The sequence below is a fragment of the Homo sapiens genome, chromosome 22 (genome assembly GCF_000001405.40).
Source record: "Homo sapiens chromosome 22, GRCh38.p14 Primary Assembly".
NCBI lineage: Eukaryota > Metazoa > Chordata > Mammalia > Primates > Hominidae > Homo > Homo sapiens.
In genome coordinates, this window is record NC_000022.11 from 32144007 (window position 1) to 32161185 (window position 17179).

The following is a 17179-nucleotide window of genomic DNA, read 5'->3' on the forward strand; positions in this document are numbered from 1 at the left end:
TTTCAAGTATACACATAAGTGCTGGAACTCCCTGGTGTGGGGACACCTTATCTCATGCCAGAGTGACACAGTTGAGTAACACAGAGCATCAACATTGGGACCCATTTCTGGGTTCATGTTTGCCTCTTCCATTCAGGAGGTTAAAATCTGGGTTCATTCTTTTCTGTACCCTCTCCATCCCACAATATCTAAGTAGGATATTCAACTGGCCTTCCAGTACAGCTGTGATGAGGGAGGAAAGAGGTGATTTATGTGAAGTGTATGGTGGTGGTGGGATTTTTTCTTCCTTTCTATTAGACGAATGACATGACTCGGGAGGCCGAGGTGAGAAGATCACTATAGGCCAGGAATTCAAAAACAGTCACACTTGTACTGTGTTGTGCATGTGGGTCCACATTTTCTGGGGGAAACACACATTGACAAACACACTCATAATCACTACATATTAACTCACTACTAGTTACCTCCCAGCCCTTTTGCACACAAACCCACACCATCTAAATGATATGGCTGTTTCCAGGGACCCTAGCAGATGATCACAGTTCTTCAGTGAGCCATCTGTTTCTCACAACGTACCCCAGGTCCTCACACCTATCAGGAACCTGAAGCCAGGGAGGTTCTCCAGACAAAAGCAGGCAAGAGAATCTTCCCTGACTCATCACTTAGATTTGTCATTAGGAAGGGAGCAGTATTAGAATATGTACAATGTTAGAGAGGGGAGCAATACACAGTGGGGCTCTCGGGGGCTGAAGCAGGAGGGAGGGCATCGGGATAAGTAGCTAATGTATGCAGGGCTTAATAGCTAGGTGATGGGTTGACAGGTGCAGCAAACCACCATGCCACACTTTTACCTATGTAACAAACCTGCACATCCTGCGCATGTATCTCTGAACTTAAAGTAGAAATTAAATTTAAAAAAAAGGAAATTGCCAGAGTAGGCAAATCTAGAAAAACAGGAAGTAGATGAGTGGCTGCCTAGGGCCAGGGATATGCGGGTTGGGGAAAAGAGAGAAGTGACTACTAATGGCTGTGGGGTTTCTTTGAAGGGGGAATGAAAAGATTCTAAAATTAGATTCTAACAATGATTGCACAACCTTGTAAATGTGAAAACACTGAATCACCCACATTAAATAGGTAAATTGTTTTGCATGTCAACTATGTCTCAATAAAGCTGTTTTTTAAAAAATATACTTACCTGGCCAGGCAGAGTGGCTCACAACTGTAATGCCAGCACTTTTGGAGGCTGAGGCGGGCAATCACAAGGTCAGGAGATCGTGACCATCCTGGCTAACATGATGAAACCCCATCTCTACTAAAAAAATAAATAATACAAAAAACTAGCCAGGCGTGGTGGCGGGTGCCTGTGGTCCCAGCTACTCGGGAGGCTGAGGCAGGAGAATGGCGTGAACCCGGGAGGCAGAGCTTGCAGTTGCGCCGCTGCACTCCAGCCTAGGGGACAGAATGAGACTCCGCCTCAAAGAAAACAAATATCTATATATAATATATTATATTATATAATGATATATAATATAATTTATTATATTATATAATGATATATAATATAATTTATTATATTATATAATGATATATTATATAATTTATTATATTATATAATGATATATAATTTATTATATTATATAATGATATATAATTTATTATATAATGATATATAATTTGTTATATTATATAATGATATATAATTTATTATATTATATAATGATATATAATTTATTATATTATATAATATATTGGCCAATATAATATATTATGCCAATATAATATATTAATATAACTATATATTATATATTATATTATATAATATATTAACTATATAATTATATATATAAAATATATATTTTATATAATATATAATATATGTTTTACATAATATATATTATATGTTTTATATAATATATAATATATATTATATATAATTATATAACTATATAACTATATAATATATATTATATATTATCTTATATATTAGATAATAAATAAGATAATATATATTAGATAATATATTAGATAATATATAAGATATATATTAGATAATATAATATATTATCATATATATAATATAATACAATATAATATATTATATATTATATAATATATAATATAATATAATATAATATAATATATATTATATTATATTATATAACATATATATTATTATATAATATAATATATTATATATTATTATATTATATATTATTATATAACATATAATATATTATATAATATATAATAATATATAATATATATTATATTATTAATATTATATATTATATAATATAATATATATAATATAATATATATGTTATATATATTATATATAATTAATATATAATAATATATAATATAATATAATATATAATATATTATATATTATATATTTATTATTTATATATCAAATATATTTTTATATATTTGATATATAAATATATATTTATTTATTATTTATATATAAATATATATAATATATAATATATAATTATATTATATATAATTATATATATGATTATATATAATATATAATATATGTTATATATTATATAGTTATATATAACTATATATAATCTATAGTATATAATATATATATTATATATAGTATATAATATAGATTATATATATAATATATAATATAATCTATATTATATATTATATATATTTATATGTATATATTATATATATTTATATGTATATATTATATATATTTATATATTATATATATTTATATGTATATATTATATATATATTTATATATTATATATATATATTTATATATTGTTGCGGGAAGTCAGGGACCCCAAACGGAGGGACCGGCTGAAGCCATGACACAAGAATGTGGATTGTGAAGATTTTATGGACATTTATTAGTTCCCCAAATTAATACTTTTTTAATCTTATGCCTGTCTTTACTGCAATCTCTAAACATAAATTGTAAAGATTTCATGGACACTTATCACTTCCCCCATCAATACCCTTGTGATTTCCTATGCTTGTCTTTACTTTAATCTCTTAATCTTGTCAGTCGAGGAGGATGTATTTCGCCTCAGGGCTATGTGATAATTGCATTAACTGCACAAATTGTACAGCGTGTGTGTTTGAGCAATATGAAATCTGAGCACTTTGAAAAAAGAACAGGATAACAGCAATTGTTCAGGGAATAAGAGAGGTAACCTTAAACTCTGACCACCGGTGAGCCGGGCAGAACAGAGCCATATTTGTCTTCTTTCAAAAGCAAATGGGAGAAATATCGCTGAATTCTTTTTCTCAGCATGGAACATCCCTGAGAAAGAGAATGCGCACCTGGGTGTAGGTCTCTGAACTGCCCCCCCCACTGGGGCGTACCTGTCTCTTATGGTCAAGGCTGCAGAGATAAATAAACTCCAGTCTCCCATAGCGCTCCCAGGCTTATTAGGAAGAGGAAATTCCCGCCTAATAAATTTTGGTCAGACCGGTTGATCTCAAAACCCTGTCTCCTGATAAGATGTTATCAATGACAATGGTGCCTGAAACTTCATTAGCAATTTTAATTTCGCCTCCGTCCTGTGGTCCTGTGATCTCACCCTGCCTCCACTTGCCTTGCGATATTCTATTACCCTGTTAATTACTTGATGTCTGTCACCCACACCTATTTGCACACTCCCTCCCCTTTTGAAAATCCCTAATAAAAACTTGCTGGTTTTTGTGGCTTGTGGGGCATCACGGATCCTACCAATGTGTGATGTCTCCCCCGGACACCCAGTGTTAAAATTTCTCTCTTTTGTACTCTGTCCCTTTATTTCTCAAGCCAGCTGACGCTTAGGAAAAATAGAAAAGAATCTACGTGATTATCAGGGCAGGTCCCCCAATAATATATTATATGTATTTAGTATATATATATATATATATTTTTTTTTTTTTTTTTTTTCTTTAGAGGCAGTCTCGCTCTGTCGCCCAGGCTGGAGTGCAGTGGCGCAATCTTGGCTCACTGCAACCTCCACCTCCCGGGTTGATGCCTTTCTCCTGCCTCAGCCTCCCGAGTAGCTGGGACCACAGGTGCCCGCCACCACACCCGGCTAATTTTCTGTATTTTTAGTAGAGATGAAGTTTCACCGTGTTAGCTAGGATGGTCTCGATCTCCTGACCTTGTGACCTGCCCGCCTCTGCCTCCCAAAGTACTGGGATTACAGGCATGAGCTACTGTGCCTGGCCCACCGTAAGTGTGTGTGTGTGTGTGTGTGTGTACATATATATATATATATATATATATATATATATATATATATATATGTAATATATATGGCTGGGCACGGTGGCTCACGCCTGTAATCCCAGCACTTTGGGAGGCTGAGGTAGGGGGATCACTTGAGATCAGGAGTTCGAGACCAGCCTGGCCAACATGGTGAAACCCCATCTCTACTAAAAATACAAAATACTAAACATACGAAAATAGCCTCATTTATAACACAAACCCCCAATATATTATGTTACCCATGTCTCACCATGATTTCAAACACCTTTCAGATTTATTTTCAGTTCCTGATTTCTACCACTCAGACTGGGCTGGAGGAACTCTAAGAAACAGACTTCCTGCTGACCCTCCTGCGCCGACTTCTAGGCATGTCTTTGGTCCAAATGTGGGCTCCTCTTCCTCCCTCATGCAAATGAACTCTTAAAGATTAGTCCACCAAGTCTTCTAGAGAGGTCTACACAAGTCTGAATTTTAAGGTAAAAGTGGCTGAGATTTAAGTTGAGAGTCAGTGTGGCAGATTCCTGGCTCTTAAAGGTTTTTACTTTGAAGAAGATAAAATGCACGAATCCTACTAGGGCAGAAAGAGTTCACAATAGATGTTTTGGTGACAAAGCACTTGTTCTACATAGCCCAAGGGTAAATGCCAATACCTATTCAGAATGGAGCAGGGAAATTGAAAATAAATTTGAACCCTTCTAATGTAAAGCTTCTGTTTCATATCCTGGCTCTTAGCAGCTGAGTGACCTTGGGCAAGTAATATAACATTTCTGAGCCTTTATTTTCTCACCCTAAAATGGAGATAACATCAATATTGTCTCCATCACTCCGAAACCCCCTTACAGTTTGGTAAGAATTACATGAGATAAAATATGTAACTAGCACAGTACTAGCACAAAATAAGGAGTCAGTTAATATTAGTTCTTCTTCCTCCACCAGCTCAGCTCCTTTGCTCTTCCTTATCCAGGAAATACAGAAATATATGGATTCACTGTAGAAGCTGGACCCAGCTCTTCAGATGCAGCAGATGGATTGACCCACTCTGTAATGACCCAGGATGGGGCGGGTGTTCTTCTGCATGGTGACTGAGAATGTGAGCCTCAGAATGAAATGTAAGAACACCAGGCTGCAAGAGGACTGGCTGCAGCCACAAACTGCAGGTCACTGTTCACAGGTGCTCAGTAGGAAGAGAGAGAGGCTTGTGATTTTTTTTTCACCCAGATGGAAATATGCATTCATAAAATGATTTGAGCTGGGCGTGATGGCAGGCGTCTGTAATCCCAGCTACTTGGAACACTAAAGCCGGAGAAGTCCTAGAACCTGGCTGCTGATGGGTTCATTGAGCCGAGACCGTGCCATCTTAACCCAGCCTAGGGGAAAAGAACAAGACTTCATCTCAAAAAAAAAATATATATATATATATATCTACATATATGTATATCTACATATCTATATCTATATCTATATCTACATATATATCTATATATATCTAGATATATATATACTTACAGAGGTAATCTTCATATCTCTCCTTTGCCTGCAATAGGAGAAAGGAAAACGCCATGAGGATCGGATCATGCTGGGCCCTGTTGGCACAGGTCTATTATTCACTTGGTGACGTAGAAAACAACATGTCAAACAGTGATCAAGTCACTGGCCCCCCGAATGAAGCATAGACGATGTGTGTGGAAAAGGCAATGGGTTTTCATGGAATATTTAGTAAGTCCATGTTGGCTGGCAAACACAAAATTATTTTTCAAGAAGAAAAAGTTGCTACTGAGAAATATGCTCACTACCAGATAGTTTGTAAGTGATGCGCTCATTTTTGACTACTGTCATCCAGCAGGACTCAGTTGGTCATAAACTCCAGTGACTGGTCGCTAGGGTCCATGATCCACTAAGACCTGGTGGACGATGGCAATCGAATATGATATTCCCTTGATATTCCAGCCAACAAAAAAATTGTATTTGTCTTCTATAATATACATGGTCAGATTTTTATATCTTCATTTCATTAATAAGGCAAGAGGACCCAGAAAAAACATTTCTCTTCCAGACAAAGAAATGCATCTTACCATCTCCGGTGTCATGAGGTCTTCAAGAGAGACAGATAGGCTTTCACTGAGACCTGATGTCATGAAGTCTTCAAGAGAGACAGATAGGCTTTCACTGAGATCCGATGTCATGAAGTCTTCAAGACAGACAGATAGGCTTTCACTGAGATCTTCGACCAAATCTAGGAGAACATAGTGACAGTCAGTGCATTGGTGCTGCTGAGGAATCCCACAAGGAGCCTTGGGGGATGTGGACCAGGGCTGGATCATGTGCAGGTGGGCGGTTGACAGGCATGGACTGAGCTGCTGCTGGACCATTCTCCTTGGTGCTGAAGGAAGGCAAAGGAGAAGGGCAGAAAGAAATGAAAGAGCCTTGGCTTTCTAGCTAGAGCAACTTCATCAATGTGAAATAGTCACCTTAAGAACCAGTTAATACAGAAAAGCACTGTACTATAGAAACAGGAAGTACATTCGTGGCTGCCTAGATCCAGGGGTGTGGGAGTTGGGAAAGACAGAGGAGTGACTACTAGTGGGGTTTCTTTGAGGGGGAATAAAGAGGTTCTAAGATTAGATTGTAACAATGGTTGCACAACCCTGTGAATATAGTAAAAACGCTGAATCACTTACGTTAAATGGGTGAATGTTTTGCATGTCAACTACACGTAAATAAAGCTGTTTAAAAAAAAATACGTACGGTGGTCGTGCTTGGCCTCAGATATTTCCTGCAGTAAGAGAAAAGAAAAAGAAACACCATGAGGATCAGATCTTGCTGGGTTCTGTTGGCAAAGGCCTTTTATTCACCTGGTGAAATAAAAAACCGGATGTGAAACAGTGATCAAGTCACTGGCCCCCAAATAAAGCATAGAGGATGCTTGTGGAAAATGCAGTGGGTTTTTTGGAATATTTAGCAAGTCTATGTTGGCTGGCAAATACAAAATTATTTTTCAAGGAGAAAAGGTTGCTACTGAGAAATACACTCACTACCAAACAGTTTGTAAGTGATGCCGTCCTTTGACGGCCATCGTCAATCAGGCCTCAGTTGGTCATAACCTCCAGTGACCGGTCGCTAGAGTCCATGACACTGAGGCCTGAATCATGATGGCAGTCAAAAATGATATTCATTTGATATTCTAGAAGCCTCAGAAAAAACAAAAAGCATTTCTCTTCCAGAGAAAGAAATACATCTTACAATATCTGACGTTATATTCTCCTCCACACCGCCGTGTGCAGACACCTGCACATCTTCAGTGGGACCTAGGAGAACACAGAGTGACAGTCAGTGCATTGGTGCTGCTGAGGAATCCCACAAGGAGCCCTGGGGGATGTGGACCGGGGCTGGAGTGTGTGGAGGTGGGCGGTTGACAGGCATGGACTGAGCTGCTGCTGGACCATTCTCCTTGGTGCTGAAGGAAGGCAAAGGAGAAGGGTAGAAAGAAATGAAAGAGCCTTGGCTTTCCAGCTAGGGCAACCTCATGAATGTGAAATAGTCACCCTAAGAACCGGTTAACACAGAAAGGCGCTGTACTATAGAAACAGGAAGTACATTCGTGGCTGCCTAGATCCAGGGGTGTGGGAGTTGGGAAAGACAGAGGAGTGACTACTAGTGGGGTTTCTTTGAGGGGGAATAAAGAGGTTCTAAGATTAGATTGTAAAATGGTTGCACAACCCTGTGAATATAGTAAAAACGCTGAATCACTTACGTTAAATGAGTGAATTGTTTTGCATGTCAACTACATGTAAATAAAGCTGTTTAAAAAAAAAATACGTACGGTGGTCGTGCTTGGCCTCAGGTATTTCCTGCAATAAGAGAAAAGAAAAAGAAACACCATGAGGATCAGATCATGCTGGGTTCTGTTGGCAAAGGCCTTTTATTCACTTGGTGAAATAAAAAACCGGATGTGAAACAGTGATCAAGTCACTGGCCCCCAAATAAAGCATAGAGGATGCTTGTGGAAAATGCAGTGGGTTTTTTGGAATATTTAGCAAGTCTATGTTGGCTGGCAAATACAAAATTATTTTTCAAGGAGAAAAGGTTGCTACTGAGAAATACACTCACTACCAAACAGTTTGTAAGTGATGCCGTCCTTTGACGGCCATCGTCAATCAGGCCTCAGTTGGTCATAACCTCCAGTGACCGGTCTCTAGAGTCCATGACACTGAGGCCTGAATCATGATGGCAGTCAAAAATGATACTCACTTGATATTCTAGAAGCCCCAGAAAAAACAAAAAGCATTTCTCTTCCAGAGAAAGAAATACATCTTACAATATCTGATGTCATATTCTCCTCCACACCGCCGTGTGCAGACGCCTGCACATCTTCAGTGGGACCTAGGAGAACACAGAGTGACAGTCAGTGCATTGGTGCTGCTGAGGAATCCCACAAGGAGCCCTGGGGGATGTGGACCGGGGCTGGAGTATGTGGAGGTGGGCGGTTGACAGGCATGGACTGAGCTGCTGCTGGACCATTCTCCTTGGTGTTGAGGGAAGGCAAAGGAGAGGGGCAGAAAGAAATGAAAGAGCCTTGGCTTTCCAGCTAGGGCAACCTCATCAATGTCACCTTAAGAACAGTTTAATACAGAAAGGCACTGTATGGTTCAGCGACAGCATCTCATCACACCTCCTCCCCATTTGAAGGTCCAGGCAAATCCCCAATTTTATGAAATGTTACAAGATCATTTAACTTCTGTGGATCTACATATCCTGCCACTACATTGATCATCTACCCTGTTGTGTTCTTCAAATTGTAGTGAAGCATACATATTTATCATTTTAATTATTAAGTGTGCATTTTAATGAGATTACATTCAATGAGTTACATTCAGGGTGCTGTGTCAATAATGAGAAATATCTAAATTCATAATCTAAGCTTCAACTTGGGCAATGAGAGAAAGACAGCAGTGTAATATAGAACAGAGGAAAAATAAATAATGATTGCAGAATACAATGGAATAGAAAACAGGAAATCCTCAGAGAAAATCAACAAAACCAAAAACCAGTTCTTTGAAAAGATCAGTAATGTTGATAAACCTCTACCTTGGCTACCCACAAAGGAAAGAAAGAAGTCACAGTGTACTAATAATATCTGTTTAAGAAGAGTCAAATCAAAAAATAGTAAATAATAAAGGAATATCCTGAACACATCTGTGCTCACAATTGGATACAGTAGATGAAATGAGCTAACTGTTAAAATCTATTTTAGAAGACCAAAACTCAGGAGAAATAGATCATCTGAATAGGCCTATATTTATTTTAGAAATTGAATCAATGATTAATATCTTTTCAAAAAACTAAAACACTATATTCAGATGATTTCACTGGTAAATTCTACCGAAATTCTTACAAAGAAAAATGTAGTCTTACCATACAAGCAAGTAATCATAATCCTAAGTATTTCCTCAGTTACATTTTAAAAATTGTGTTTCCAAACAAGACACAGGAAGGTTTATAATAGCTGTATTCATAATTGACCAAACTGAAAGCAAATGTCTAAACATTTGAGATGTCCTTTACTATCAAAGTTGAACTAAGCCTGGGCAACATGGTGAAATCCCATCTCTACAAAAAAAAAAAAAAAAATTAGCTTGGTATAGTGGCACGTGCCTTATGGCCAGCTACTTGGGAGGCTGAGGTGGAAGGATCCCCTGAACCTGGGGAGGTCAAGATCGCAGTGAGCTGTGATTGCACCAATGCACTCCTGGGCGACAAATGAGACCTTTTCACACACACACACACACACACACACAAAAGAACAACTCTAACTTGTCAATATTACTTTACTTGTGTAGTTGTATCATCTACCATTGATTTAATGCATTTAAATTGGCACAAATGAAATAAATGAAGAACATGACATAGCATTTACTGAGTTTCTCTAATATGGAGCACTGAATGAATAAACTGGAATTGTTTGCTTAAATGAACTTAATGATTTAATTTCCACATTACCTATATTTTCTAGAGGCCAAATCCCGTGCCGTCTCCATATTATTTTTAACCAGCGCTTGGAGCGGGCGTCCAAACCTGCAAGGTAGAGCAGACTTCTTATAGATTCTAGGAAATGTATTATAATAAAGACAGTGCTTGACATGTTGCTGGCAGAGGATAGCAGAGAAATTAGTAAAAACTTATTCACAGATGAAAGTTTTGATCCCGGTTTGCACCGTCTGCTTTTCAACTCTACCTGAATTAGATTTGGGTTCTTGGAAGATTTTGCAAGGTTCGTTGCATTTAAAACAGACTGTTTGTGCAGGCAGATACCTTTATTTAGATGAGACAATATAGAAAAGCAGCAGATCCAAGTCACCAAGAATGGCCTGGGTTCAAATCCTACTTAGAATCTGCACATACCTGGGAGAGTGAAATGAACCCCTCTGTGCCTCAGTTCCCTATTCTGAGATGTGGGAATGTTAGTAGATCTCTGCTATAGACCTACTAAGATCTATAGGGCTAAAAAGGATGAGATACAGATAAAGGCTTAAGAAGACTCATGCTTTGTAAATGCCCAACAGTGTTCAATCATTCAATGTCTGGGAGAATAATCCAGATACTTGGTAGTGGTTGAATACAGAGAGGGAGCGTGTATGGCTCCCGGGCAGGGGAGGGTGGAAGGTGACTTCACTGTTTCCATGGGCATGATGCTTTCCAGCTCATGAAAAAGATCTGTCATTTCCTTGATCCCCACATTAGCCCTGAGGGACAGGCAGAGCAGGGGCTACAACCCGTATTTTCCAATTCAATGAATTAAAACTTAGACGTTTTGAGTGACTTGCCCAGAGTTACCACAGTGAGGCATGAAGATCTGGGACAAGAATGTAGTTGGTTCCCTGGGGACAGAGATCCCAGAACATCTGAGTCCTCTAGATCATGCCCTGGACCCTGAACTGAGAGCTCTTCTCACAAGCTTTGTCAAATCCTGCTGCCCCAATATTTCTTTGGGATGGTTGATGCCCTGGAGAGATGGCAGGTGGCTTACTGCATTTACTCACCTGGTCTATTATCCCTGCATTTTCACTTTGATTAGCTTTATGACCCATAAGACAAACATTTAAAGTCTCTCAGTTATGATGCACAGTCTGGGATTTTACCTAAATCCACTCTATTTTGGGTGATTTTACCTAAATCTCCCATCAGGTGATTCTCATCTGCTGGCCTGGAGGTGGCCTGCCATGTAAGAGGACACACAGCATACCATGGAGCTGCTGCGTGCCCCAGTCCTGTGCACACTCACGCCTTGCTTCTGCTTCCCCTGCTCCGACAATCCTAATTCTGGCTTCCAAAGCAATCCTGTACTTCCCTCTCAGTTCTCAGACTTGCCTAAACTGTTTAACGTTTTAATCAATGTTGTGACCATGACTGAGCTGTGACATTTGATATATCATAGTATATTTTTATCCATTTATAGATTTGTTAATAGCATTTAACTTCATTTTTCAGAGTTTTAGGAACATTTCTGGGCTAGGTGTCCTGGCACATGGCTGTAGTCCTGACATTTTTGGAGGCTAAGGCAGGAGGATTGCTTGAGGTCAGAAGTTTGAGACCAGCCTGGGCAACATAGCGAGACCTCTTCTTTACAAAAAATGTTTTAAAAATTAGCCAGATGTGGTAGTGAGCTCTTGTTTACCTAGGTATGTGGAAGACTGACGTGGGAGGATCGTTTGTGCCAAGGAGTTTGAGGCTGCAGTGAGCTATGATCAGGCCACTGCACTCCAGCCTGGGTGATAAAGCAAGACCCTGTCTCTTAAAAAGAAAAAGCATTACTGAGTTACAAGTATCTCCATTTTATTTCTCATTATCTAATGTTACTGTTTTAATCCTGAGGCTTAACTACTTTAATAAACTAAAGGAAATTTTTTTTAAAAGAGGTAGTATCCAAAGCAGCTCATATGTACCTTTTAATAAATTCTAGTTTTATATGCCATGTCTAGAATTTACATTCTTGATCTGACATTTATTTTTTCAAACCTTGAAAAACTCACTTTATACTTCTTAGAACCAGCCTTCTCATATGTGACACAAGGAAAATTCCCATATTACACCTAACTTAAAACATTGAGAGGATCAAATAAAATGCAAGAGCAGTCTATTTACTACATAATGCACAATCAATTACAAAGCAAAGCTTCTGAGTGAAAAGTAAACAGTTAACATCCTTTGGAAAACCCATAGCAAAATAACATTTTGAGAAAACACGCACTTTGGCTACCCACTGAAGTTAAGGAGAAAACAGTCACAGGTCAGCATCAAGAATTCCCCAGCGTTGTTTTTTTGTTTGTTTTAATAATCACACATTATTCCCCCTGCTTTCTTTCATGTATGTTACCGCATGTTCTCCCTTTTTGCTTTTCTGTGTAACCTATCTTGGGAATCACTCCATAGCAGTAAAATGACATCTTACCCTTGTTTACAGCTCCATAGTTCTCCTTTAGGTGGAAGTACCAGTTAATTTTACTAGTCCCTTACTAGACATTTCAGTTATTTCCAATATTGAGCTATTGAAAATAATGCAACAAGGACTTTGTGCATAGGTTGTTTCATATTTATGGAGTATACCCTCGAGATAAAATGCCTCAAAGTAGGATTTCTGGCTTAAATGCATTTGCAATTGTGACAAATTCCCCTTCGTGGAGTCGAGCCATTTTGCATTTCCACCAGCAATATATGCATGCAACTTTCCTTACAGCCAAACCAAAGAATGTATTGCCACGTTTTTGGAATTCCACTCAGTAGGAGAGACACTGCAGTATAGTTGTCATTTGCCTTTCTCTTATGTGTGAAGATGTGTTTAAGGATCGTTTGCATTTCTTTTTCTGTGACTTCTCTATTTATCACTTTATTACCTACTTTTAGGATCACTTGACTCTAGAGATTCTCAAGTCAGCCTATTTCAGGTCATGATCGTCTGTCTGTTCACTGTTGACTCTCACCTGCACTTCGCCACCAGCCTCCTAGCTGGTCTCCCTGCTTCCACCCTTGCCTGCATTACAGGACATTCTCACACAGCCGCTGGTCAGTCTTCTTCTTGGAGGATTAACAGTAATCCCCAGGCTGTAATCCTCCAGTGGTTTCCCATCTCAACTAAAGTCCATATTCTTTGTCAATGCTCACTACGTGTACAAGGCCTTAGCCCATCATATTCATTTCACTCTGCTGCAGCCACCTTTGTGTCTTTCTGTCCTTTTCCCAAAACAAGTTTGTTCCCATTTCAGGAATTCCAAAGAAGAAATTCCTCTCTGGAAGCCCTCTCCCATCATCCTCACAAGGCTCCGCCTCACTTTTCAATTTATTTTAAAAAACAAATAAGATGGGATCTCTATGTCTATGAAGGTGGGGACCTTCCGTCTTATTTCAAAAAGAAAGGGACATAACAAGAACCAAGAGGCAAAAAACAGTCGTGAGAGTGTAGTCAGAGCTCCTCCTTCCACTACCAGCTACTGAAGGCTGCTGGCCCTGCCCAATGGCTAGTACCCACAAAGCCTCCTATGTCACCTGGTTACCAGGAAACAACCAAGTCAGGCTAGTGGCTCACAATGGCCGACCCCACAGACCCACCCAATGGCTCACACCTCCCTGCTGCTGCCCACCTTGTGGCCACCCTGTCCCTCTGTGGTGACTGCACTATTCGTCCTGGGCTGCCTGAGCTTTCCAGTCCTGAGAAAAGTGCAGGGGGGCGGGGGTTGTTATTGGAAGTCACCCTGGGCAATGAAATCAATAGAAAACCCTGGTTACTAAAGTCAGTTCCATTAGCATCTCTGTTTTTCTGAGTCTGGCAGCTTTCGTTTGCTCACCAAATGTAGTTATACACAAATTTCGGACTGCTTTGTAAGTAAATGCTTCTCTCCTGTCTTACAAGTGTTAGTTTTTGTCTTCAACTTGACCACAGCAACTCCTAGAGCCCTGGTCCCACTCTCGATAAAGCGTGATGACTGCGACTTGAATGAAACCCTAGGACACATCACACTTTCCCTTCCTTGTCTACAATATAGGGACTACACTGTAGTAGGGCTGAAGAGACACTCATGTCAAATTGGGAATTTTAAAGTAATCAGAGCTCCATGACTAAACTCTTTGGGTAAAACCAACACAAAAGCAATTTCTTTACAGCTCTGGCACTAACATTTCATACCTTTTGCAGTCATTTGAAGCATGTCCCCCAATTTTTTTTCCTTCTTTCTTCAAATTACAATTGGAAGAAGTAAAGCAGCTTCTGTCAATGTGACTTAAAACCATCTATTAAGAATACCATATAATCTCTTCCATGGCAAACTCTATTTTGAATTTAAGAAGTCTCCACATATTTGAGTCTAAATTATCCCAATTATTAGCTACCTTAAGGAATGGGAGAAAAGAAACAATTGGGCCCTTAACTGGCTCCTTCACTTAGGTACCAGACCAGCTGGATGGGTAAGGATAGAGAATGGGATGGGGACTCCAAAACTGGAGTATTTGAAATTTTACTGAGAAAAGGGCCGGGACTAGACCAAAAAGTCCTCAACAAAGAAGGCTCAACAACAAAGACAAGAGGCAGAACCAGCCTTTGTCCCCCATGCCTAGCCCTGGGAAAGCCGGCTATGGGCAGGAGGGAGCTGGAAGCTGAGGATGTCTCTGAGGGTGAGGGACTGCAAAGGGGTGGGGGCGGTGGTGGCCAGAGAGATGCCAGAGAGCAAATGGCACCCATGGCTTCTTTACCTTTGGACATCTTCAGCATCTTCGGCGTCTTCGGGAGGCTGAGGTACTGCATGAGTTGGGCCTTCTTAGCTTTCAAATCCAATTTGGCAGGCTTTGCAGTGGTGGATGCTGGTGCTGTGGCTGCCACAGTCTCAGGAATCTCACACTCATGGCAGGGTCCCACATCTGGCCTGCAGCAGTCACAGTTGAGGCCCCCGCTGGGGCCCAGGCAGCAAGTCAGTTTGCTCCCCATTGGGCACCTAAACACACAAAAAAGTCCAAGAGGCACAAGGACAGAATGTAGTCGGAGCTCCTCCTCCTTCTACGGCCAGCTACCGACTGAAGGCTGCTGGCCCTGGCCGTTGCCTAGTAACCACAAAACCTCCTATGTCACCTGGTTGCCAGGAAACAACCAAGTCAGGCTAGTGGCTCACAATGGCCGACCCCACAGACCCACCAAATGCCTCACAATGCCCATCCCTGCTGCTGCCCACCTTGTGGCCACCCTGTCCCTCTGTGGTGACTGCATTATTCATCCTGGGCTGCCTGAGCTTTCCAGTCCTGAGAAAAGTGCAGGGGTTGGAGGTTGTTATTGGAAGTCACCCTGGGCAATGAACTCAATAGAAAACCCTGGTTACTAAAGTCAGTTCCATTAGCATCTCTGTTTTTCTGAGTCTGGCAGCTTTCGTTTGCTCACCAAATGTAGTTATACACAAATTTCGGACTGCTTTGTAAGTAAATGCTTCTCTCCTGTCTTACAAGTGTTACTTTTTGTCTTCAACTTGACCACAGCAACTCCTAGAGCCCTGGTCCCACTCTCGATAAAGCGTGATGACTGCGACTTGAATGAAACCCTAGGACACATCACACTTTCCCTTCATTGTCTATAAAATAGGGACTGAACTCATCCTTCCCAGTTCTGAAATGCTAGGACCTACCAACTCTCTTTTCTCCCTCTGTTTCTTTCTTCCATGGCAGGGATATTCAGATATTTCTTTTACTAACAATGCATAAAGCACGTTTTTCTTACACAAAATTGAAAACCATATAGTGGGATACCACTGTCCTCATTTGATGAAGATGAACAGTAAATATCTGGCAAGCCTGACAGTATTCCAACAGTGGTATACTAATTTAACCCCCAGAAACCATTCCATTTTACGGATTTTGCAGAATCAATCTAGATGGAGAAGTTAAGTAGCTTCCCCAAGTTTCCATGACGGCTCAAGATGGGGCCAGAATTTAATCCTGAGTAATCTTGATCCCCACAAGCCGATCATGATTATCAGAAAGTAAAGGTAGACGTCATGCTTGGAGGGGAAGTGACCTTGTAGATTAGTATTTTTTTTAAAGAATAACAGTTTTTTGATGTGAATTTTAAAATGCCTCCCCTTCATTCAACATTAAGTCTAAGTGCCAATACTGCATGTGTGAAACAGTCCCAACCCTCAGTGAGTTCAGGCAGATGAGCAAACAAAGGCTTAGAGGGTTCAATTATCTGAGGCTACACTGCTGGACAGTGAATCAACCTGGAATGAAAATGCAGATCTATCTGACCCAAAATTAGATGCTGGGGTAGAGTTTGAATTTTATTCTGGAAACGAGAGTCACTGAACCACACAGGGGTGAGGAGTCTCTATCCGATGTGCTTGCAGTGACGTCACTCTGCGCAGTGGAGAGGGCTTTATGAAAGCAGTGGGGCTGATTAAGATACTCTATGTTCATCTGGAGAACAGTAAGGCTAAAAAGGCAGCAGCAGTGACTGAAGTGGAAGGAAAAGTTTTGTGATCATTTGGGAGATAGAACAGGAAGTGCTTGGTGATTAGACGTGGAAGAAGAGGGGAAGGAAAAACAGGCTGCTAAGGCCCTAGTTTGATGGACTGTGTAAATAGCAGTGATTCTCCCCTAGACAGAGAATGTAGGACGAGAAAGAGGTGTGGGGAATGAGACAGTTTTGAACTCTTTAAATGTCACATTGAAATGGAACCGTCTGGTTGAAAATTGGATGTAAACCTCTGTAGGCTAAGTCCATTCTGTGACATCCCAACTCATGTTTTCAAAAGTAACACACACACAGTAACTCAAACCATTAAGGAAATTTCCTAACATTTACATACTAAGAATATAATAGTTTTTTAGTGATTACTTTCTTAGGGAAACTTTGAATTTATGGTTGTAGCGAATGAGGTGTCACGTAAAATAAAACTGTTATATAAGAACAAC

At 39.7% G+C, this 17179-nt stretch overlaps 1 protein-coding gene across 6 annotated transcripts; it reads right to left on the bottom strand.

Annotated features, from left to right (window-relative positions):
* Nucleotides 1–4999: 4999 nt before the first annotated feature.
* Nucleotides 5000–16442, bottom strand: C22orf42 (chromosome 22 open reading frame 42). Of its 6 annotated transcripts, none has more exons than XM_011529922.4 (10): nucleotides 15895–16429; nucleotides 14978–15216; nucleotides 10238–10312; nucleotides 8556–8620; nucleotides 8061–8088; nucleotides 7481–7545; nucleotides 6986–7013; nucleotides 6313–6473; nucleotides 5747–5774; nucleotides 5000–5607 (listed from the first exon to the last, which is right to left on the bottom strand). In XM_011529922.4, the coding sequence occupies exons 1-10, from the start codon at nucleotides 15927–15929 to the stop codon at nucleotides 5534–5536; spliced, it is 798 nt and encodes a 265-aa protein (XP_011528224.1). In that variant the 5' UTR covers nucleotides 15930–16429; the 3' UTR covers nucleotides 5000–5533. The 6 variants fall into 6 exon arrangements, with proteins under 6 accessions (XP_011528224.1, XP_016884118.1, NP_001010859.1 ...); XM_017028629.3 differs by lacking the exon at nucleotides 15895–16429 and adding an exon at nucleotides 15451–15839; NM_001010859.3 differs by lacking the exon at nucleotides 15895–16429 and having other exon boundaries at nucleotides 14978–15297.
* Between the last annotated feature and the right edge of the window lie 737 nt (nucleotides 16443–17179).